We start from the raw sequence: 25,085 nt of genomic DNA, 5'->3' as shown, positions 1-25,085 counted from the left end.
CAAGCTCCTGACCTCAGGTGATCCACCCGCCTCGGCCTGCGAAAGTGCTGGGATTACAGGCGTGAGCCACCACACCCGGCCAATCTTCTGACTCTTATTCTCAACTTAAAAATGCTTCTCTCGGCCAGGCGCAGTGGCTCACGCCTGTAATCCCAGCACTTTGGGAGGCCGAGACGGGTGGATCACAAGGTCAGGAGATCGAGACCATCCTGGCTAACATGGTGAAACCCCGTCTGTACTAAAAATACAAAAAAAAAATTAGCCGGGCCTGGTGGCAGGTGCCTGTAGTCCCAGCTACTGGGGAGGCTGAGGCAGGAGAATGGCGTGAACCCGAGAAGCGGAGCTTGCAGTGAGCTGAGACCGCACCACTGCACTCCAGCCTGGGCGACAGAAAAAAAATGCCTCTCTCATTAAGGGTAAAAATCTAGAAAGCATACTAATGTTAAACCATCTTTCTGAGTTTACACAGGCAATGACAGAAATATAATGTGCTTTTGTTTTTCTTTCAGATCTCCAACTAAAGACATGGATTCAGAAGAGAAGGAAATTGTGGTTTGGGTTTGCCAAGAAGAGAAGCTTGTCTGTGGGCTGACTAAACGCACCACCTCTGCTGATGTCATCCAGGCTTTGCTTGAGGAACATGAGGCTACGTTTGGAGAGAAACGATTTCTTCTGGGGAAGCCCAGTGATTACTGCATCATAGAGAAGTGGAGAGGCTCCGAAAGGGTTCTTCCTCCACTAACTAGAATCCTGAAGCTTTGGAAAGCGTGGGGAGATGAGCAGCCCAATATGCAATTTGTTTTGGTTAAAGCAGATGCTTTTCTTCCAGTTCCTTTGTGGCGGACAGCTGAAGCCAAATTAGTGCAAAACACAGAAAAATTGTGGGAGCTCAGCCCAGCAAACTACATGAAGACTTTACCACCAGATAAACAAAAAAGAATAGTCAGGAAAACTTTCCGGAAACTGGCTAAAATTAAGCAGGACACAGTTTCTCATGATCGAGATAATATGGAGACATTAGTTCATCTGATCATTTCCCAGGACCATACTATTCATCAGCAAGTCAAGAGAATGAAAGAGCTGGATCTGGAAATTGAAAAGTGTGAAGCTAAGTTCCATCTTGATCGAGTAGAAAATGATGGAGAAAACTATGTTCAGGATGCATATTTAATGCCCAGTTTCAGTGAAGTTGAGCAAAATCTAGACTTGCAGTATGAGGAAAACCAGACTCTGGAGGACCTGAGCGAAAGTGATGGAATTGAACAGCTGGAAGAACGACTGAAATATTACCGAATACTCATTGATAAGCTCTCTGCTGAAATAGAAAAAGAGGTAAAAAGTGTTTGCATTGATATAAATGAAGATGCGGAAGGGGAAGCTGCAAGTGAACTGGAAAGCTCTAATTTAGAGAGTGTTAAGTGTGATTTGGAGAAAAGCATGAAAGCTGGTTTGAAAATTCACTCTCATTTGAGTGGCATCCAGAAAGAGATTAAATACAGTGACTCATTGCTTCAGATGAAAGCAAAAGAATATGAACTCCTGGCCAAGGAATTCAATTCACTTCACATTAGCAACAAAGATGGGTGCCAGTTAAAGGAAAACAGAGCGAAGGAATCTGAGGTTCCCAGTAGCAATGGGGAGATTCCTCCCTTTACTCAAAGAGTATTTAGCAATTACACAAATGACACAGACTCGGACACTGGTATCAGTTCTAACCACAGTCAGGACTCCGAAACAACAGTAGGAGATGTGGTGCTGTTGTCAACATAGTTCCAATGGCTCCTTTCTGACCTGCTTTCATGTTTTAATGTTTGTTTAATTTAATAGGAAACCTCATTTTAAATATAACACTCAAAAAAATGTAAATCATATTGTAGTATTCAATAGTTAATAAAAACTCGAGAAATGTGTTGTTTCTGATGTGAAATTTCCAAAGGAACTTTAATTATTGCAAGTTCAAGCAATGAACTATTTATCACGAATGCAGCACAAATAGCTTGTCGTTGTAGAACACAGAAATAATTTGATGGGAATCATATGATAATCTTCCTTAGCGTCTGTGGAAAACGATTTACATAAACTTTAAAAGCAATCCTCAATATTAGACAGTCCAAATATTCAAACATGAAGAAGTAGAATTAAAATGTGCTGTAATATATATTTTTCCAACACTGTATAATTGGAATTTTTAAATCTGTAAAGTATATGGGAGCTACTGTGTTGTAACTGCATTAATTCAAAGTTTGGTTCTTTTAATTGATCCTTGATAATACAACGTATCATGTATATCACTTCCTGAACCCTTCTACCTGTTGAGGCCTATGAAACAGGCTGCTGTTGGGACATGTATAAATACTGGCAGGGAATCAGACACGTATAGGGTACAGATGAGGCAGGGCCAAGTGCTGCATACAAACAGCAATTTTTATAAAGAAGCCTCAATTTATTAAGAGCTATGTGTGGATGTTTGCTATCTGGCAATTCAGATCTCCTGACCAAACCCATGTTCATTCACTGAGTGAGGTATAGTGTGGGTTACAGAGAAAATCAGTCATAGTGTTATTTGTTTATGTCCTATCTACAAAAGTTGCAATGATGGAATTTGGAACCCTTCTGTGGATAAAATAGAATCTGCTATAATTATTAGCATTTTGTCTCTGAACCTACAGAGAGGAGACCACATGGACAAAAGACTTATTCTGCTATGCTATAACTCAGATTGTCTTATTTCTTCATCTAAAGTGCTTAAAAGAGACTTAGTTCCTAAAAAAGTACCAGCAAAATCCCCAACACACTAGTAAGAATTCAAGAAATTGAAGGGATTATTTAGGTCTTATCTTGACTGACAATCATTATTATGGCCTACTATGCTTGTGTTTTAATTAGAAATGTGCTTTCTTCTCTCTCCCTTCTTTGCTTACTTTCTTCTTATTTGCCTTCCTGTCTGCCTTACTTCCTCTCTTTTCCTGCCTTCATCTCTCCTTCTCCCGTCTTCTTTTTTTCCTTTGCTTCCTTCCTGCCAATGAACACATGATGCAATCATAATGAAATAATTATTTTTTATTGTACTGTTAACTGAGTACTGCTGCAGTTTATTTTTATTTAGCTGATATCTTTCCTGTGTGTCACTGCACATGTAAGTAGAAATATTATTTTACTTAGTTTTAATATGTGGACATTGGTTAAGGGTCCCAATCCTTCTCATTTCTTCTCTTTTATTCTTTTGCATACTTTTAGTGCAGGTTTTAACTCAGTTTTCTTATTGTTTTACTTTCAAAATTTGAAAAGTATTTAATTTTTTAAAGCAACTTTATTGTTAACTCATTTAAAAAAATATATTGCTCCTTAAATCTTCTTAACATATTTGTTCCTGCCTTCTCCTGTCTTTTAACTCATCTTTGGGAAGACATTTAGAATTTTCTGATTGTTTCAGTTTCGTGAGCATTTATACTATCATTTCTTGTACCAAAATAGATATTTTCAGGTCTTATTTCAAGTTGGCTGGTAAGAAAAATAGAAATTTCCATTCTATGGAAAAATACAGTGATAAAGAGTAATAATTCTGGCATCGGTTACATTTTTTTAAAAAAGATAAAATTGAATAGTCATCTGTGAAAGGAAAGTTCACCTGACTAAGAGTCCATAAAATTATTCAACAATATAAGCCACTGACATATTCATTGTTCACTAATGGGGATCAAATTCAGAAGATCATCGTAAATGATAAACCCATTGTATCATTTTCCTACAGTGGAAGTCATCTCTTTGAATTATTCTTATCTTTAGTGAGAAAATACTGAAAGAACATGCTTATCTATTTGACTAATTATCTGAATTCAAGAGGTTCTGATAAGAAGTAGGCCTGGAGAGATAATTTCATCTTAGAAACTTTGAATTAACTTCTGCTTTTATACAGTTAAGCACAGTAATGCATTTAAGGCTCAATTCTTCTACATTTTACAGTAAATAATGTTTGTAAGTCTCAGAAAGCAGTACCATTGCTTTTTAAATTCATTTCAGAATTTCCATTTGCTCATTAGTTATACAAATGTATTTGTGCGTTTGATCACTACAATCATTAAGTTTTAATCCTTCATCAGCTACCATGGTGAACCTCTTAATTTACAGTTACATGTTAATATATTAACACAAATAGAAGTACTGAAATACAATGCCCTCATGTCTGGATACTGAACTATTTGTTATTAAATTAAGTGAGAATTGGAATTATAAGTATAGAACTTGATAGAAAGTGTAATGTTATTATCTATAGAAATGTTAAAGTATAAATTCTTGAGTAATCTGACAGGTTAACTATGAAATTGCTATATGCAGCTAGAAGAAACAAACCAAAGCTGACTATTCTTAATTTCTGTAACAGGACCTAGATTCATCCTTGGTCATCCTTCCACTTGGAATTCTCCTTTTTATCCTTCTGCAATGCTCTGAAATCTTACCCTTTCCACAGTCTTTTTAATGTGCTAGCTCTTCTATGATATACGTTTGTTCCATTCAATTAGTTGGAATCTCATCTCTGAACCCAGAAATATTTTAGAGGTACTTCTCATAAGAAGCATTTTTATTCTGGCTTACGCTATATATATTTATGCACTTACCTAATTCCCCTCCTTCAATGAATTCTATTTTTTTTTTCCTTGAGACGGAGTCTCACTCTGTCGCCCAGGCTGGAGTGCAGTGGCGCGATCTTGGCTCACTGCAAGCTCCGCCTCCCGGCTTCACGCCATTTTCCTGCCTCAGCCTCCTGAGTAGCTGGGACTACAGGCGCCCGCCACCACGCCAGGCTAATTTTTTTGTATTTTTTTAGTAGAGACGGGGTTTCACCGTGTTAGCCAGGATGGTCTCGATGTCCTGACCTTGTGATCCACCCGTCTTGGCCTCCCAAAGTGCTGGGATTACAGGCGTGAGCCACCGTGCCCGACCAATGAATTCTTATTAAATTACTTTATCATCTGTCTTGTTAGCCTTACTCTTTCCTATTAACTTCTTTGCCCCCTGCTCCCTTTTTGAATTGAGTGGCTAAATTTTAGAGGTTTGTAGCTTTTGTGTGTGTGTGTGTGTGTTTTATAGATGGTAAATGATGCTTGTACATTTTGTACATGAATGAATACGTATTTTAGCAGACTTAAAACATTAACAGTAATTGACCTTATACATTTTGGGAAAGAAAAATTAAATCTTCATGCTACTACGATTTTTTTAAATGTGGCATCAATGTTTATTTTTAATAATAGTATTACTGACTTAATAAACCCCAAATGTCTCTTTAAGCTGATTTAATGGTTATATTATAGAATTTTTTATTTCATTGTGTGCTTATGAGAAAAAACATATTTTAGAGTTGGGTTTTAAATGGTAGACACAGAAAGTAACTTTAAAATATCCTAAACAAAATATCTATTTCATTTTTCTTCTTAAGTAAAATAACAACACCTCATTAGTGTGTAGAAGCTATTCTAATCCATTAAAATTTTATTTTTATATTTATTTAAATATCTACTGTACATGACAAAATATATTTCTGTGGCTGCCTTTTATAATTATTTTCCAAGTAGACATAATCTATTTAAAACATATTTTTCTAGTGACAAAGAAATACATTTTATCCTGATATATAGTTTTTAAATACTAGGCTATTTCTTTTCATACTGCCTGATTGGTTTAATAAACATGATGTGACAAATATTAAGTATATATCATTTTATCATGTTGTAACTGATCCAAAATAATAAAAGAAATAATTATACCTTTCTTGTGATATTGTTTTGGGTGGTCTTTTATTTGGCTGTATTAAAAATAAATCTTCTTTCAGGTTGAATTATATAATTGCTATCCTTTTTTTTTTTTTTTTTTTTTTTTTGAGACAGAGTCTAGCTTTGTCACCCAGGCTGGTGTGCAGTGGTGCGATCTCGGCTCACTGCAACCTCTGCCTCCCGGGTTGGGTTCAAGCAATTGTTGAGTCTCAGCCTCCCGAGTAGCTGAGGCTACAGGCACCCACTACCACGCTTGGTAATTTCTTTTGTATTTTAGTAGAGACGGGCTTTCACCATGTTGCCCAAGATGGTCTCGAACTCCTGAGCTCAGGCAATTTGCCCCCTTGGACTTCTAAACTGCTAGGATTACAGGCATGAGCCACCACACCCGACCGTGAATTATATAATTGCTAATATAATGCACAATTTATTTTAAGATTAGTTATTTCATGAAAACGTAAATATACAGGAAGTAAGATTGAACAAAACTATTTATTAGGTTTTATACATATTTCTTCCAATTTATTGTGGAAGAATATGCAGACTCTTCCTCATATTTTTCTTACATAACTCCTTACTCATTCTGAGATGTGGTTATTCTGGAGATGGCCCTATATTGTTCATATAGAGATTCCATACTGTGTTCGATAGCAGCAGGGAAACTCATTGTATCAATTATAATAATTTATTTAACTAATCCCCTCCTTATAGGCATTTGGATGTTTTCTGAAAATTTACTATTATAAACAACGTCATTCTGTCAATGCATTTCTGTAAGACTAGATTGCCAGATGTAGGAATATTGGCTTAAAGGGTAACAGAGGCATTTTCAAATTTAATAAACATTGACAAATGATCTTTATAAAAATTAATCTTTTACTACCCAAGTTGTTAATGTACTCTTCCCACCCACAGAGTATGCTATTTGTCTTTTAATTTATCTTAAAGCAAAAAATTAAGTTATATAGTTGAATGTATGGATAAGTAACTCGTAAAGTGTTTTTTGGTCATTTTTAAACAGGCCTTCACACTGCATGATAAATAATTTTTAAAATAATTTTTGAAATAATTTCTCTGATGCTTCTTTAGAGTGTATTCATGCTTTAGTTGTAAACTTTCAACCATCTGAAATTAAGTTCGTTACATGCTTAAACTTATGGAGATAATTGAATCTTGTTTAGGTAATTACAAGTTATTCCACATTATTTGCCAAATAACGTTGTGCCACTGTTTTTAAATACCCCCTTTATTGTGAACCGTATTCTGGTACATATTTTGAATCTATTTTTGGATTTTTTCTGCCATCCCATTGATTTGGCTGTGTATTCACATTCAAGAGCTACATAATTTGAATTATTGTGACTTTATAATCCTTTTAAGATTTGGTATATTTTAATTATTTATATATTCCTATTACTCGTGTTTGTTTTAAAAAATTTTCCTGTTCTTTATAAATTTTGCAATATTTATAATCATCTTGCACAGCTACAAAAATAGTCTGTTGGTATTTTAAATTGAGAGCGTGCTAAATTTATGTATACATTTAGGGAAAACTGACTACTTTAATATTGAGACTTACTGTCTGAGAGCCTTATGTGTTTCCTTTTGTTCAAGTCTTCAATTGTGTCCCTCAGCAGGATTTAAAACTTTATTCTCTTCTTGCACAAGCAATATAAGATTTATTTCTGAATTTCATACCTTTTGTGTTACTGTCATAAATTAGGTTTGTTTCTCCTCATTAAATTATTCAACTGATAATTGTCTTCAAGTTAAAATTTGGAAATTCCCTACTGATTGCTTGTTTTAAGCCCTCACTTCAGAACTATATTTTATCCACTGAATTCAATAATTTCACTGAATATAGTAGATTAATAGTACATTAATTCTTTATAGTGTATTCATGCTTTAGTTTTAAACTTTCAACCACATATTCAAATGATTCTTGCTCTCATGCATGTAGACTTTCTTTCTTACATTATTTTGTATACCAGCAAAGTGAATTGAAAAAGTTAGGAAATTCTCTGAAATTTCAAACAAACAACTATCCTTACCCTAGAAAAACAAATTAACTGACTAACAAAATTAAGATCAAAACACATTTGAATGCAAAGAAGTCTAAGATTTTTACTAATTTGCATAGGATAGAATACCTAAATTTAATTAGTAATATTTGTAATGGCCATGACATAAATAAAAATAGAATATCTAGTAATATTGTATCATTAGTCCACTTAGGAACTTTATGAGGCTACGAAATGAATGTTTGCATAAGAAAAATGCTTAACCTGCAGAGTTTCTCAGCTGTGGCATTATTGGCATTTTGGCAGGAGAGTTTTTTGTCTGCTAGACTCTCCCATTAACTGAAAAACATTTAGCACACCAGGATGCCTCCTACAAACTGGCAATGGTACTGCTATATACTGGGACAAGCAAAATTGTCTTCGTCTAACCCCTCCTCTCATCCCTAATGTTTCCAAGCATTCCCTAGAGGCTAGTATTGTCCTTGGTTGCAAATTATGAAGTCTTATGGGAGTTCAATTATTGTTATAATAAAATACCACTTATCTTTTAAAAATAAAATTAAAAGAAGAGTCAATGACATGAGCTTGGTATATTAAGTACAAATGCACAGAACAATCTGCTTAAAACAAAGGAAGGAGGGCCTTAGTAGATCAAGCCCAATAATAATTTACGAGACTGAGACATAAGCATAAAGATGGGAGACAATTTAGGTTTTTTCTTGAATGATGATTGACATCATCCTCATTTGCCAGGAATTCAACAGCCCAAGTTGATTTCAAAGTCTACAGAATCTTGTTAATATGCTTCCATAGGTATGGTGCTTCAGAAAGTGCTAATCAAATTATCAGATATCGAAACAGTTGTCTTAGCACAAGTATTCTATAATTTCTGCTAGGATGAAATAAAAGTTCCAAAAGACTCAATTTGGGAAGAATATTTTTCTTCAGTTTTGTTTAATTCATACCTATAGGGGTAGTTAATGATAAATTAAAACACTAATTATTATTCTGAGATGAGAAAATGTTGCTTACAAGTTACTACTTAAAAATTCAAGCAACGGCCAAACAGAAAAGAAAAAGACTAGAGGTTAGAGAACAAGTAGCAGTCATAAATACTAAATACGTCTATAAGGCCAGGTGTTGTGGTTCACACCTGTAATCCCAGTGCTTTGGGAGTCTGAGGCAGGAAGATTGCTTGAGGCCAGGGGTTTGAGACCAGCCAGGCCAACATAGAGAGACCCTGTCTCTACAAAACAAACAAAAAATCAAGACTAAATATGTCTATAATGACTCTGGTCTGTAAGTATCAGAATTTTAGGTATTTAGTTCTCATTTTCTCAGCATTGTTAGAGTTTATGCATTTCTATCATGTAACAGCCCCACCATTCCTATTATTGAAGAACTTTCCATTTGAAAATAAAGTGAATGAAATGGCCTTCCTTGATAAGTAAACCCCTAGATTTACTTACGGCAATTGGTGTAACATATTGGAAAATAATTTGGAAATAATAGTATAGATCAACAATTCACAGCTTTCAATCAGCATTCCTACAATTCATAATAAGTAGAGGGAAAATATTCCAAAATTTGTGAAAACATATATGCATGAAAGTATTTGTCTTAGCTTTATGCATAACAGCAAATTAAAATCCTGATAATACAGGAGGTGTTAAGTAGGTTCTCGGGTATTATTAGAGTAAGGTCAGATTACTGAAATTTATAAATATTAATATTTCTCATTATAAGAATACAATAGTAAAATCTAGTTTAAAAGGAATTATTTCACAAATGCCTGTAAACAAACTATGTTAAAAATAAAAACTGCATACCTAAAAGCAAATCCATATGAAATTGGAAATGCAAAATTTTTCTGCAAGTTTTTGTTTTAACTTGATGATTTTAGGGATGACATATTTCTTTTCCACTATAAATATATTTCAAAATACAGGATCTTTATAATTTAAAAACTTTAAAAGTGTTTCCTATATAATATCCTTCTAACTTTCTTGTTTCTTTGCTGAGGCTCTTTAAAGGCTTTTTTGAACATCAAACAGCTGCAGCGTAATGGGTAATGTCAAAGTCAACTAACAGAGAACTGGAAACCTGAAGGCTGTAAACAATTTGAATTCTAGGATGTCAGATTCCAACCTAGAAAATAATTTAAAATAAAAAAATTAAAAAGCTAAATTAGATAACCTTTAAGGTTTTCAACTTGGTCAAATTATATTGAATAATTCCTTCAATAGATTTGGTACGTGCACAACAAATATTAGGTTTTTATTTATTGCACATGGCTCTATTTATTTTATTTTATTCTTTATAGAACCACCTTAAGAAGAGGTTAAAGTAGCCTACTAATTGAAAAAGGAGGGAGTTAAAACTCAAAACTCTGCTTCTCCTGATATGTTCACTCTTATCTCTCATTTCTTTCCAGATTAGTTAGGGTGGGGCTGTAGGGTTGTTATTATTGGCCATGATAGACAAAAGAGTCATGATTATGTTAGCCAAACAATGTATGGCTAGGGAAAAAGGGACATCATTTGTGTTTCCAGAACAGAAAAAGCTATTCTGTAAATAGAGGTGGAGAGAATAGTAACTTGTATTGTTTATTTTAATATCTCTAGTGTCCAACAGAGATTGGAACCTAATATTTGCCAATACATGTTAATAAAATTAGATATGTAACAAAAGGGCAAGCATAGTGCCTGGAACTTTATAGTTATTCTATAAATGTTAACTCTTATTATTGTAAGTAATGAAAGAAAAGTTAAATGTCTAGTACGGGTAAAATATTGCTTACATACTTTATTTGAAATGAACACCACTTCCTCTCTTTCCTGTTTCCATCACTCAGGGCAAATACATTGGTACTTATACAGATATAAAATCAAGGTATGGTTTTTCGACTTCAAATACTATTTTTGAAGTTTTAAAATTTATTCTAGGCTGGGAACAGTGGCTCACGCCTGTAATCTCAGCATCTTAGGAGGCTGAAGCAGGCAGATGACGAGGTCAGGAGTTCGAGACCATTCTGGCGAATATGGTGAAACCCTGTCTCTACTAAAAAAAAAAAAAATACAAACATTAGCTAGGCTTGGTGGCACGCACCTGTAGTCCCAGCTACTCTGGAGGCTGAGGCAGAAGAATCGCTTGAACCCAGGAGACGGAGGTTGCAGTGAGCTGATATCGCACCACTGCACTACAGCCTGGGTGACAGGGTGAGATTTCATCTCAACAATAACAACAAAAAATTATTCTAAGTAGCATTTGTCATATCCCAGACAAGGGAACAGAAAAGTTTTATACATTTTCAGAACTGAAGCTAAGATTTTGAAATATTTGTTAGTATCCTGTGAAATTTGCAAGTCACTGTTCTCAAGTAAGTTCAGGTGCATGGCATGGTGATTGGTAATAATTGTTTTGCTTTCCAAGTACAAATCTTATCACAAAACCTCTAAATTACCTGAGACGGAAAGAGCCCGAAGATGGATATCAAAGCTACATATCCCTCTTTTAGCATCCACGCATACCACCCCACTCCTGAAGTAATCGTCCAAAAAATTATAAAATACCAAAATGTCAAATAATGTGAGGAACAGCAGTTTCACAAAGGATGAGGGTGGTAATGGTAACTGGGATTTATCATTCAAAAGTAAGACAGACTAAGGAGGAAAATATCCTGCATTGGAGATTTAAATTTAGGTCAAGCCAAGTCATGAGTCTTTTGGAGGTAATTCCCAAACCTGTTTCCACAACAAACTCACAAAAAGTACTTGTTAAAAATGCAGATTCCTGAACTTCACCCTGGTGAATTTGATTGAGGTGGTCTGGATTGCAGCCCTAACTTTTGTGATTTTAAAATCTAGCCAAATGATTCTAAAGAAATGGCATTAGAGTGTGGTTTATTAACTCACAGCAGAGCTGATGACTAAACACTTTACCAAGCTAAATGAAGGGATGTGGAGAGAAGCATTCCTAAAGTGATGCATAGAGCTCATTGACCTGGAAGAAACATAAAAAGCACTAGGTCCCAAGCCAAGGGTAATTGGGAAACAGAAATGTATTAAAGGGCTGATCCGGAGACTCCAGGTGCCCAAAGGTTATTGTCTCTTTTTCAAATAGTGCCTAATCTAAGATGAAAATGATGGAATAAATTAGACCACTGTGGGAACTCCTGTTATCATATAAGTACTGCAGATATTTTTTATGTGTCTTACACTATTTTCCTGAAATATGACATTAACAGGGCTAGTTAATTGTCCAAAAGTGTCGTTTTTCTTGGCTCAAATTAAAAGTAATTTATTCTACAAAATAATTAAGACAAGTCTCCTTTAAGAAGCCGGACATATTTGGTTCAAATTTGGGTTCAAGCCCTAGTTACTTGCATGATTTTAATCAAATTATTCAACTATTCTGTTCATGAAGTTCTTCAACTGGAAAATTGTGATAATAATAATGCCTAACTTTTTGGAATGCTTTAAAGATAGGAGATGTAGCATGAAAAATACTCAGCATCTCACCTTGTATAGAGTAGACTCTTATTATTATAGCAACCATTATTAGTCCAATATTTTCTTGATTTTATAATGAAGGATGCATCACTATACATATGTCAAAAATATGTAAGTGCCCATCAGTTTGAACAGTAGGTTTTGCTGCAGTTTCTGCTCTTAGCTCTTGGGGATTATTTATAGGGTAACTATCTGTTCATTCTACTGTTATTTCATTTGAGTATTTATGCAACTTTCACTCCATCATAAAAGTTTATTTAATATATTTTACTACAGTCCATCGTTGAAATAAAAATTTGTATGTGGATAGGAAGAGAACAAAAACAGAGCTATGAGATCAGCTATAACACAAGCATTACAAGCAATGTATGTGTTCTTCCTTGAAGGATGACCACATTTATACTTAATTTGGGGCAATAGCCAAAAGTTTTCTAATATGATAAGACAGATAAAGTTGCACTGTATATGGTCATTGAAAAGATTTTCTATTCACAAAACAGGCTGAGCAATTAAAGGCAGTAGAAACATCCAAGTACCCCAGAATAGACCACAGAATTTTCCTTTTTTTTTTGAGACGGAGTCTCCCTCTGTCACCCAGGCTGGAGTGCAGTGGTGGTGCAATCTCGGCTCACTGCAAGCTCCGCCTCCTGGGTTCACGCCATTCTCCTGCCTCAGCCTCCCGAGTAGCTGGGACTACAGGCGCCTGCCACCACGCCAGGCTAATTTTTTTGTATTTTTAGTAGAGACGGGGTTTCACCGTGTTAGCCAGGATGGTCTCGATCTCCTGACCTCGTGATCCGCCCGTCTCGGCCTCCCAAAGTGCTGGGATTACAGGCATGAGCCACTGCGCCCAGCCAGACCACAGAATTTTCAAAGTTAAGAGAGGTTGATGTAACTTATGTATTATAAAGACTATCGCTCAGGTATCAAATGACAATTTGTCAAAAAAAATCTGCTTTATTTTTAGAAAAAAATCATTTTTCCAGTAATGCTTAATTATGTTGAGGAATCAAGTTATGGCCAAGGAGAATTGCAGATTGTTATATTCCATGTTTTTCTCAAAATAAAGAAATAAAGGTCGTAAATACTTGTTATGAAAACCAATATTTTATATGCATATGAATTAATCATAATTCTCAATGCTTAAAAGTAATATAGAACAACTTATAAATTCTTAATGAGAACACTTAGACTTAAATTGCTAATATAACATAGAAAAAAAGGTACATGATTGTTGGCTAAAAATACTACAGCATGTATTTCTTTTATTCTTCAAAAACTGTTTTTAGAAAAACTGTATTATTATAAGTATAGTACAGATACCTTATTATTAAACACATATTTTATAATAGATAACATCAAGAGTGTCACATCAAAACTTCAATTTCCAAAAAATGCAAAAGATTGTAACAAAAAAAGTATTGTGTAAATCTATCAATCAGGGAAAAATTTAAATTGCTATGCAAAGGAAAACTTGCTACGGCAAGTGTAAAAATTTATCTCAGTGGTTTGTGTTGTTTTGTCTTGGTACTCTGTGTAAGTCATTATTTTTGTTTATTTGAAAAAAATTGCTTAAGAAACCATAGTGGAGTAGAGGATTCAAATTTTAACAAACGGATGTAAAATTAAAAAAAGTGATCAAAAATGAAAAATAACCCTGCAATATTGAGTTTTGAGACTTATAAAGTGATAGTAAGCAGGTGGCTCCTAGTGAGAAGTTAGCAATGGATTTTGAGGTCATACATTTGAATTGAATTGTTCCTTTTCTGAGCTTCACTTGAGTCATTATCCTCAAACCTCATTAGCATTCTTTTCATGCAAAAGTATTGTTTTATAATATTTTGGAGAATAAAAAAGATTCCATGTCCACCTATCAGAAAAAAGTGGAGTTGAGAGAAGCTGGGGAAAGTAACATGCTGAGCAGAAAACAAATCATAATATGGGAGAACCCAGTTAATGGTTAGAAGTGGTATGTGTACTATAATCATTAAAAATATAGTGTCCTGTATTATTTTTATTTTTCTTGTTTGTATGTGGAGGTTGTAATTGCCATTTAGGCAAACAAACTTTTAAAGGCATCTGGTGTGCATTTAATTAACTCTACTGTTCACAATGGGCTGTTCGTGTGAAAGATATATAACGCAGTTATCTAGTCTCTTTTGTTGCATCCTTCCTTTTTGCTTCTCCTACAGAATGTCACATACAATATACCTGTTTATTAGTTAGATACAAAGTTCTTCATTGATAAGCCCAGGGAAAAGTAAATATTAATAAGAATTTAAAGCTTTATTCTATAGTCTTGGAAATATTTCTAATAATTAGAATTATTATTAGAAAAATGTATTAAATCAATGTTTCATATGAAGTGTTTATCTTCAACATGAAATACACTACATATTACCACTATTTGTAACAAGAGCTTTCAAAGACTCTCCTAAATATTCTTTCTAAAAGTATTTCAATGAAATAACTTACTATTTGAGGATTGTTTTAACAACTACAAAACACAGATAACTTAAAGTCTTCATGATTCTATGATATTAAGCAGCACCAATAATTTTGTATCTAATAGGGGCATATTTGCTAAGAATTTGGTAAACAAAATTTTAAATGTCATTTTTTAAAAAATTATACTTTAAGTTCTAGGGTACATGTGCATAACGTGCAGGTTTGTTACATATGTGTACATGTGCCATGGTGGTGTGCTGCACCCATTAACTCGTCATTTACCTTAGGTATATCTCCTACTGCTATTCCTCCCCACTCCCCCCACCCCACAACAGGCCCCAGTGTATGATGTTCCCCTTCCTGTGTCCAAGGGTTCTCATTGTTCAATTCCCACCTATGAGTGAGAACATGTGGTGTTTGGTTTTTTGTCCTTGCGATAGTTTGCTGAGAATGATGGTTTCCAGCTTCATCCATGTCCCTACAAAGGACATGAACTCATCCTTTTTTATGGCTGCATAGTATTCCATGGTGTATATGTGCCACATTTTCTTAATCCAGTCTATCATTGATGGACATTTGGGTTGGTTCCAAGTCTATTGAATAATGCCACAACAAACATATGTGTGCATGTGTCTTTATAGCAGCATGATTTATAATCATTTGGGTACATACCCAGTAATGGAATAGCTGGGTCAAATGGTATTTCTAGTTCTAGATCTTTGAGGAATCGCCACACTGTCTTCCACAATGGTTGAACTAGTTTACAGTCCCACCAACAGTGTAAAAGTGTTCCTATTTCTCCACATCCTCTCCAGCACCTGTTATTTCTTGACTTTTAATGATCGCCATTCTAACTGGTGTGAGATGGTATCTCATTGTGGTTTTGATTTCCATTTCTCTGATGGCCAGTGATGATGAGCATTTTTTCATGTGTTTTTTGGCTGCATAAATGTCTTCTTTTGAGAAGTGTCTGTTCATATCCTTCGCCCACTTGTTGATGGGGTTGTTTGATTTTTTCTTCTAAATTTGTTTGAGTTCATTGTAGATTCTGGATATTAGCCCTTTGTCAGATGAGTAGATTGCAAAAATTTTTTCCCATTCTGTATGTTGCCTGTTCACTCTGATAGTAGTTTCTTTTGCTGTGCAGAAGCTCTTTAGTTTAATTAGATCCCATTTGTCAATTTTGGCTTTTTTGCTATTGTTTTCGGTGTTTTAGACATGAAGTCCTTGCCCATGCCTATGTCCTGGATGGTATTGCCTAGGTTTTCTTCTAGGGTTTTTATGGCTTTAGGTCGAACATTTAAGTCTTTAATCCATCTTGAATTAATTTTTGTATAAGGTGTAAGGAAGGGATCCAGTTTCAGCTTTCTACATATGGCTAGCCAGTTTTCCTAGCACCATTTATTAAATAGGGAATCCTTTCCCCATTTCTTGTTTTTGTCAGGTTTGTCAAAGATCAGATGGTTGTAGATGTGTGGTATTATTTCTGAGGGCTCTGTTCTGTTCCATTTGTCTATATCTCTGTTTTGGTAACAGTACTATGCTGTTTTGGATACTGTAGCCTTGTAGTGTAGTTTGAAGTCAGGTAGCGTGATGCCTCCAGCTTTGTTCTTTTGGCTTAGGATTGACTTGGCAATGCAGGCTCTTTTTTGGTTCCATATGAACTTTAAAGTAGTTTTTTCCAATTCTGTGAAGAAAGTCATTGGTAGCTTGATGGGGATGGCATTGAATCTATAAATTAATTTGGGCAGTATGGCCATTTTCACGACATTGATTCTTCCTACCCATGAGCATGGAATATTCTTCCATTTGTTTGTGTCTTCTTTTATTTCGTTGAGCAGTGTTTTGTAGTTCTCCTTAAGGAGGTCCTTCACATCCTTTTTAAGTTGGATTCCTAGGTATTTTATTCTCTTTGAAACAATTGTGAACGGGAGTTCACTCATGGTTTGGCTCTCTGTTAGTCTGTTATTGGTGTATAAGAATGCTTGTGATTTTTGCACATTGATTTTGTATCCTGAGACTTTGCTGAAGTTGCTTATCAGCTTAGGAGATTTTGGGCTGAGACAATGGGGTTTTCTAGATATATAATCATGTTATCTGCAAACAGGGACAATTTGACTTCCTCTTTTCCTAATTGAATACCCTTTATTTCTTTCTCCTGCCTGATTGCCCTGGCCAGAACTTCCAACGCTATGTTGAATAGGAGTGGTGAGAGAGGGCATCCCTGTCTTGTGCCAGTTTTCAAAGGGAATGCTTCCAGTTTTTACCAATTCAGTATGTTATTGGCTGTGGGTCTGCATAAATAGCTCTTATTATTTTGAGATACGTCCCATCAATACCTAATTTATTGAGAGTTTTTAGCAGGAAGGGCTGTTGAATTTTGTCAAAGGCCTTTTCTGCATCTATTGAGATAATCATGTGGTTCTTGTCTTTGGTTCTGTTTATATGCTGCATTACTTTTATTGATTTGCATATGTTGAACCAGCCTTGCATCCCAGGAATGAAGCCCACTTGATCATGGTAGATAATCTTTTTGATGTGCTGCTGGATTCGGTTTGCCAGTATTTTGTTGAGGATTTTTGCAACGATGTTCATCAGGGATGTTAGTCTAAAATTCTCTTTTTTTTGGTTGTGTCTCTGCCAGACTTTGGTATCAGGATGATGCTGGCCTCATAAAATGAGTTAGGGAGGATTTCCTCTTTTTCTATTGATTGGAATAGTTTCAGAAGAAATGGTACCAGCTCCTCCTTGTACCTCTGGTAGAACTCGGCTGTGAATCCGTCCGGTCCTGGACTTTTTTTGGTTTGTAAGCTATTAATTATTGCCTCAATTTCAGAGCCTGTTATTTGTCTATTCAGAGATTCAACTTCTTCCTGGTTTAGTCTTGGGAGAGTGTATGTGTCCAGGAATTTATCCATTTCTTCTAGATTTTCTAGTTTATTTGCATAGAGGTGTTTATAGTATTCTCTGATGGTAGTTTGTATTTCTGTGGGATCTGTGGTGATATCCCCTTTATCACTTTTTATTGCATCTATTTGATTTTTCTCTCTTTTCTTCTTTATTAGTCTTGCTAGTGGTCTATCAATTTTGTTGATCTTTTCAAAAAACCAGCTCCTGGATTCATTGATTTTTTGAAGCGTTTTTTGTGTCTCTATCTCCTTCAGTTCTGGTCTGATCTTAAGTTATTTCTTGCCTTCTGCTAGCTTTTGAATGTGTTTGTTCTTGTTTCTCTAGTTCTTTTCATTGTGATGCTAGGGTGTCAGTTTTAGATCTTTCCTGCTTTCTCTTGTGGGCATTTAGTGCTATAAACTTCCCTCTACACACTGCTTTAAATGTGTCCCTGAGATTCTGGTATGTGGTGTCTTTGTTCTCGTTGGTTTCAAAAAACATCTTTATTTCTGCCTTCATTTTGTTATGTACCCAGTAGTCATTCAGGAGCAGGTTGTTCAGTTTCCATGTAGTTGAGTGGTTTTGAGTGAGTTTCTTAATCCTGAGTTCTAGTTTGATTGCACTGTGGTCTGATAGTTTGTTACAATTTCTGTTCTTTTACATTTGCTGAGGAGTGCTTTACTTCCAGCTATGTGGTCAATTTTGCAATAAGTGTGATGTGGTGCTGAGAAGAATGTATATTCTGTTGATTTTAGGGGGGAGAGTTCTGTAGATGTCTATTAGGTCTGCTTGGTGCAGAGCTGAGTTTAATTCCTGGATATCCTTGTTAACTTTCTGTCTTGTTGATCTGTCTAATGTTGACAGTGGGGTGTTAAAGTCTCCCGTTATTATTGTGTGGGAGTCTAAGTCTCTTTGTAGGTCTCTAAGGACTTGCTTTATGAATCTGGGTGCTCCTGTATTGGGTGCATATATATTTAGGATAGTTAGCTCTTCTTGTTGAACTGATCCCTTTACCATTATGTAATGGCCTTCTTTGTCTTTTTTGATCTTTGTTGGTTTAAAGTCTGTTTTATCGGAGACTAGGATTGCAGCCCCTGCCTTTTTTGGTTTTCCATTTGCTTAGTAGATCTTCCTCCATCCCTTTATTTTGAGCCTATGTGTGTCTCTGCATGTGAGATGGGTCTCCTCAATACAGCACACTAATGGGTCTTAACTCTTTATCCAATTTGCCAGTCTGTGTCTTTTAATTGGAGCATTTAGCCTATTTACATTTAAGGTTAATATTGTTATGTGTGAATCTGATGCTGTCATTATGATGTTAGCTGGTTATTTTGCTCATTAGTTGATGCAGTTTCTTCCTAGCATCAATGGTCTTTACAATTTGGCATGTTTTTGCAGTGGCTGGTAGCGGTTGTTCCTTTCCATATTTAGTGCTTCCTTCAGGAGCTCTTGTGGGGCAGGCTTGGTGGTGACAAAATGTCTCAGCATTTGCTTGTCTATAAAGTATTTTATTTCTACTTCACTTATTTAGCTTAGTTTGGCTGGATATGAAATTCTGGGTTAAAAATTCTTTTCTTTAAGAATGTTGAATATTGGCCCCCACTCTCTTCTGGCTTGTAGAGTTTCTGCCGAGAGATCCACTGTTAGTCTGATGGGCTTCCCTTTGTGGGTAACCCGACCTTTCTCTCTGGCTGCCCTTAACATTTTTTCCTTCATTTCAACTTTGGTGAATCTGACAAATATGTGTCTTGGACTTGCTCTTCTCGAGGAGTATCTTTGTGGTGTTCTCTGTATTTCCTGAATTTGAATGTTGGCCTGCCTTGATAGGTTGGGGAAGTTCTCCTGGATAATATCCTGCAGATTGCTTTCCAACTTGGTTCCATTCTCCCCGTCACTTTCAGGTACACCAATCAGACGTAGATTTGGTCTTTTCACATAGTCCCATATTTCTTGGAGCCTTTGATCATTTCTTTTTACTCTTTTTTCTCTAAACTTCTCTTCTCACTTCATTTCATTCATTTGATCTTCAATCACTGATACCCTTACTTCCAGTTGATTGAATTGGCTACTGAAGCTTGTGCATTTGTCATGTAGTTCTCATGCCATGGTTTTCAGCTCCATCAGGTCATTTAAGGACTTCTCTACACTAGTTATTCTAGTTAGCCATTCGTCTAATCTTTTTCATGGTTTTTAGCTTCTTTGCGATGTGTTCGAACTTCCTCCTTTAGCTCGGAGAAGTTTGATTGTCTGAAGCCTTCTTCTCTCAACTTGTCAAAGTCATTCTCCTTACAGCTTTGTTCCATTGTTGGCGAGAAGCTTCGTTCCTTTGGAGGGGGAGAGGCACTCTGATTTTTAGAATTTTCAGTTTTTCTGCTCTGTTTTTTCCCCATCTTTGTGGTTTTATCTACCTTTGGTCTTTGATGATGGTGACGTACAGATGGGGTTTTAGTGTGGATGTCCTTTCTGTTTGTTAGTTTTCCTTCTAACAGTCAGGACCCTCAGCTGGAGGTCTGTTGGAGTTTGCTGGAGGTCCACTCCAGACCCTGTTTGCCTGGGTATCAGCAGCAGAGGCTGCAGAACAGCTAATATTGGTGAACAGCAAATGTTGCTGCCTGATCATTCCTCTGGAAGTTTCATCTCAGAGGAGTACCCGGCCGTGTGAGGTGTCAGTCTGCCCCTACTGGGGGGTGCCTCCCAGTTAGGCTACTCGGGGGTCAGTGACCCACTTGAGGAGGCAGTCAGTCCATTCTCAGATCTCAAACTCTATGCTGGGAGAACCACTACTTGCTTCAAAGCTAATAGACAGGGACATTTAAGTCTGCAGAGGTTTCTGCTGCCTTTTGTTTGGCTATGCCCTGCCCCCAGAGGTGGAGTCTACAGAGGCAGGCAGGCCTCCTTGAGCTGCGGTGGGCTCCACCCAGTTTGAGCTTTCTGGCGGCTTTGTTTACCCACTCAAGCCTCAGCAATGGCGGGTGCCCCTCCCCCAGCCTCACTGCTGCCTTGCAGTTTGATCTCAGACTGCTGTGCTAGCAATGAGCGGGGCTCCATGGGCGTGGGAACCTCTTAGCCAGGCGTAGGATATAATCTCCTGGTATGCCGTTTGCTAAGACCATTGGAAAAGCACAGCGTTAGGGTGGGAGTGACCCGATTTTCCAGGTGCCGTCTGTCTCGGCTTTGCTTGGCTAGGAAAGGGAATTCCCTGACCCCTTGCACTTCCAGGGTGAGGTGATGCCTTGCCCTGCTTCAGCTCATGCTTGGTGCGCTGCACCCACTGTCCTGCACCCGCTGTCCGACAAGCCCCAGTAAGATGAACCCAGTACCTCAGTTGGAAATGCAGAAATCACCTGTCTTCTGCCTCACTCATGCTGGGAGCTTTAGAGTGGAGCTGTTCCATCTCGGAACCTCCTAAAATGTCAATTTAACTTAACAACAATCTCCCACCGTGATTTCTTAAAAAGAAAAAACCTGATATAGGAAAAGAAATTTAAATGAAAAAGATAGAAGCAGCAAATTTCCATTCCATTTGGTAATCGTAGGAAATATTAGAACATTTATTACCTATAACACATGAGAGGAGAGCTTCAAGTGGCTTTATTTATATATCAAAAAGAAAGATAACTCCAGAGCCTGAAGAAGATGGAGGTAGTCAGATTATACAAATTTAAAGCAAAACAGTTTTAAAAAGGATCAAATGGCATTTAAATTAAGATGCATTTTAGACATGGATTTTGACCTAATATATGGGGTGAGTTTCCAGAAATCTTGAGAAACATTTATAACATTTTTTAATATCTGTGAATAATCATCAATAACATTTAACCATCTTCCTCTAATATTACTTCACTTTAGTTAAGCTAGAGAGGAGGCAATTTATGACTGAACTTTGGCATGTAAGGAGTTACATTTTGAATATGGTACAGTTGGAAAGAGACTAGATCCTACCTTTATCTTAATGTATAATTTTAAAAGGATTATTTTAGCAATGAACATGTTGGATATACAAGTAATATATCATTCTTAGGTAGAAAATTACATGGCCATTATTTCACACACAAAATAATGAATTGCAATGACTGAGAATGAAGAATCCTCTAATTACTATAAAAATAAAAAATTATCTGCTTATTTTGAACTTAAAATCTTTCAGACTTTTCATACATACACAAAAAAGCAGACTCTCATATCTAATGAAGTTAAAGTATGTGATATGAGTTAAATATTCAAAGCCTGATGCAACGATGTGTCATTACAAACAGACTTAACAGCATTTTGTGAAGGTCTCTGTCACCATGGAAGCTCAGCTGAAACTGGCTCTGCAAGTTTTTGTCTCCACTTTATTGCACCTAATACCACCATTAGCTAGGCTCAGGGGTAGTCACTAATTTAAGCTTTACCCCACTACCTTAAATTTATAATTAGAGCCCATGCTTAGTGTTCATCATTCCTCATAGATACAAATTAAATGAGGCTTGAAGAGTGTCTGCTTTGTCCATGCTAAGTGAGTAACGAGTTTTTATGCATAATGCCAAGGAAATTTTTCTAGGTGGTTAGAACAAGAATACACAAGTCAGGAAAAGAAAACAAGAAAAAAAGATTGATGATAGCTTTCCTAAGCAATCAGTGCTCAATTGTCAAATATGTGAATCACCTGGCTGCTGCTTTCTCCTCATTTTGCCTGCATTTTGAGAGATTTAACAGTTAACTCTGTTAACCAGACATCAGTTATTCAAATTGGCCTTTTCAGAATCTCCTTAGACTCATTACTCTACCAACTACTCATATTCAATGTCTCCAAGATCTGTTAATTTTTGTCATGTATTTCTCAGAAATTCAATCTTTCTTTTATCAGAGTCTTTTTTAAGTTAGGTCTGGGAGGAATTTATAAGTTTATGTACTCCAAATCCATCATGTTACAAGATCAAAAAGAATACCAGACAACTGAAGGTTTTTAGATAGTTCATAGTGAAATTATTACTGAAATTAAGACCTTTGAACTCTCAGAGTGCTTTTTTTCTTCTTCAAGTTGCCTCAAGGAAAGTGGATTCCTCACATTTCTCTGTTAATGCAATACTTACTGTCTTAATTCTGAAAAATAATACACTCAGCTTTAGCTAAATTATAACATTTTCCTTAATTATAATATTCTCTTTCTTAGAAAAAAAAATGCATAGAAAGTATCACATTGCCTAGGAAGAACTTGAGTCTGGAGTTTAATTCTCCTGTAACTCACACCAGGTATCCATAGAAACAACGAAGGGACAGTTGCAATATCCTATTTATCTTTGTTGAACTATCTCTTCATGCTCAGTCACTAGAAAAATGCCTACAATTGACAAATGTTTAATGAACATTGATTGAATTCAAATTCATTAGTCATTTGACAACTAGCAGCACAATTAGAAGATCTGTATCTTTTCATCTGTTTCAACAAACGGTTCACATTTTCCTGTGTATCTCCTACGGGAAAATACCAGTTATTTCCAAAGTAGCAAAAAAGAAATGGATATAAATATTATAAACATTGGGCAATATTTATAGAAGCATTATTCCTTATATAGCATTAATTTTAAAATGTTTCCTTGTTGGTCTGTTGCTTTATTGCAGTGAATATATTTAAATTGCCCATGATTTATAAGCACTGACAGAAATGTACCTCATCTATGTAGAGCCTTCTTAGTGATGTCTTTGCACTACCACAGTGTTTCTTCAGTGAGTGCATTTAGTCACTCCAAACTGGTGATGGAAGTGAAAGATGAGACTTCTTCTTTATGGGAACCACATCAAGTAAATCCTATCATTCATTCATTCATTCACTCAACAAATGTTTGTTGCTAGTGGCTCTCAGTTTTTTCCATCCTTTCATCTTTAAGAGAGGAGTGACACAGGGACATTCCAGAAGTTATCTGTGAAGCTACCCTCTGGAGCATGAGTCACTGTGAGGAGTTGGCCCGCCTGTTTCCCTCACCCTACCCTTGCTACCACTCCCAAGGGACAGCATGGGAGACAGAGTTCACTCAAGGTGACAAATCTTCAAACCAATTTGTTTATTCAGGCTCTCCCAGTAATCCATTATCATAGATAATTAAGAGTTGACTGTACTCTAATTATAACAAAGACATCCTGAGGTTTCGTCTGTAACCTAAAACGCACAACTGAGGATGGGCGAGGAAGCTGAATTTGGATAGACCTGAACTTCAGGTAGCACATTTAGCAAAGAGAGTCAGAGGAGGGAGAGTAGATCATAGTATAATAAATGATATGAAAACAAAAACAATTATGACTAAGAAAACAAAATTATGGGTGGCTGTTAACAGCTCAGCTGTGGGGTCCCCACTGCCTGTGCCATGTGCTGCTTTTACTCTCAGAGTGCTACTTCCTGTTGGGCAGTGAAAGTACCGAAATTACACCTTTTATGTTCAAGCAATGGTTTGTGTAGCAGGTATTCTGCAGAATTTATAGACTGCACAACAAATGTCCTCTGTGTCTATGGGAAGCTAGTCACTTTTGACTGTACAGTGAAACCTTCTGTTGCCTGTGTTGATTAGGAGTTAAAATCCCAAAGTAACTTTCTCATCAACATGACTTGATTTTGATGGAAGCCTCCAGAAACAGAATATGAATGTTTCAATTCTACCAGCTGCATGAGGTCCTGTCCTCAACGGCATTATGCTGCCAAATACATGATAAACACATTCATGACTTGGGTAACTACTTTTTTCAAAATGCTGCACTGAAATTGGGCTGGAGGCTATAAGTGGTCTATTGCTCTGGCTCTAAGCATCACCCTTGGTGGCTTTGGAGCAGACCATTTCCACCTCAACCAGTGGCAAGAAGGCCTTGGCAAGCTCTTCAGCTTCAGTGGCCTGGAAATATAGACACTAATAGACATCTTGCTAATTGGAGTTGGCTACATTGGACCAGCAGATGGCTCTTGATACATTTAGCTTGTGATTATGTGCTTTGAAGAGGAGTAATGTTTAGTAAAAGCCCTTTTGCCTGTAGGAGTTGATGTGGTGTGAGTGATGTATTTGTATATTTTTAATGTGCAGCACTTGTACTTTGATTGTCTTGATGAAGTAAAAAAGAGAAATGAAACATTGAAAAAATTAGAAGAAGAAACAGAATATTCTAAATATTGGAAGAAACACACCTACACAATATTTATAGTATATACAGTAATAATCTCACTTTAATACAGCAGTTTCTTGATGCTTTACAGAAACCTCAAAGTATATTTCATTCATGACATTGGCCAACCATCATAACTCATATGAAAGAAAGTTAAAAACAATTTACCTACATTTTAGTGATGTTGAAACTAAGACACATCAGTTATTTTTCTCCCAGCATTTCCGTATGGTTAAAATTGTAGGCAGAGAATAAGATCCAGTTTTAAACCATATCTGCATTTTGATTTCCAGAAATTATTTTAATTGATTTTTTCC

At 36.1% G+C, this 25,085-nt stretch overlaps 1 protein-coding gene and 1 pseudogene across 1 annotated transcript in view, besides 1 other annotated feature; both read left to right on the top strand.

Moving 5' to 3' along the window:
* Positions 1-5,769, top strand: part of RASSF9 (Ras association domain family member 9) — a 35,707-nt gene extending 29,938 nt beyond the window's left edge. The window contains exon 2 of the mRNA NM_005447.4: positions 510-5,769. Coding sequence (NP_005438.2) covers positions 510-1,770 — 1,261 coding nt within the window. The 3' untranslated portion in view covers positions 1,771-5,769. The remainder of the gene's footprint in view (positions 1-509) is intronic.
* Positions 22,912-24,111: an enhancer, noted in NCBI's record as "P300/CBP strongly-dependent group 1 enhancer chr12:86176139-86177338 (GRCh37/hg19 assembly coordinates)". NCBI's record gives its function as "activates an origin of replication core promoter dependent on BRD2, BRD4, P300/CBP, MED14 and CDK7 cofactors, with strong dependence on P300/CBP, by STARR-seq in HCT116 cells {active_cell/tissue: HCT116}" and the evidence as "EXISTENCE:reporter gene assay evidence [ECO:0000049][PMID:35650434]".
* Positions 23,960-24,581, top strand: LOC100129589 (TM2 domain containing 3 pseudogene; annotated as a pseudogene).

Source organism: Homo sapiens, chromosome 12, assembly GCF_000001405.40.
Source record: "Homo sapiens chromosome 12, GRCh38.p14 Primary Assembly".
NCBI lineage: Eukaryota > Metazoa > Chordata > Mammalia > Primates > Hominidae > Homo > Homo sapiens.
Note: the sequence above shows the minus strand (reverse complement) of the source record. Positions and strands in the feature narration are given on the sequence as shown.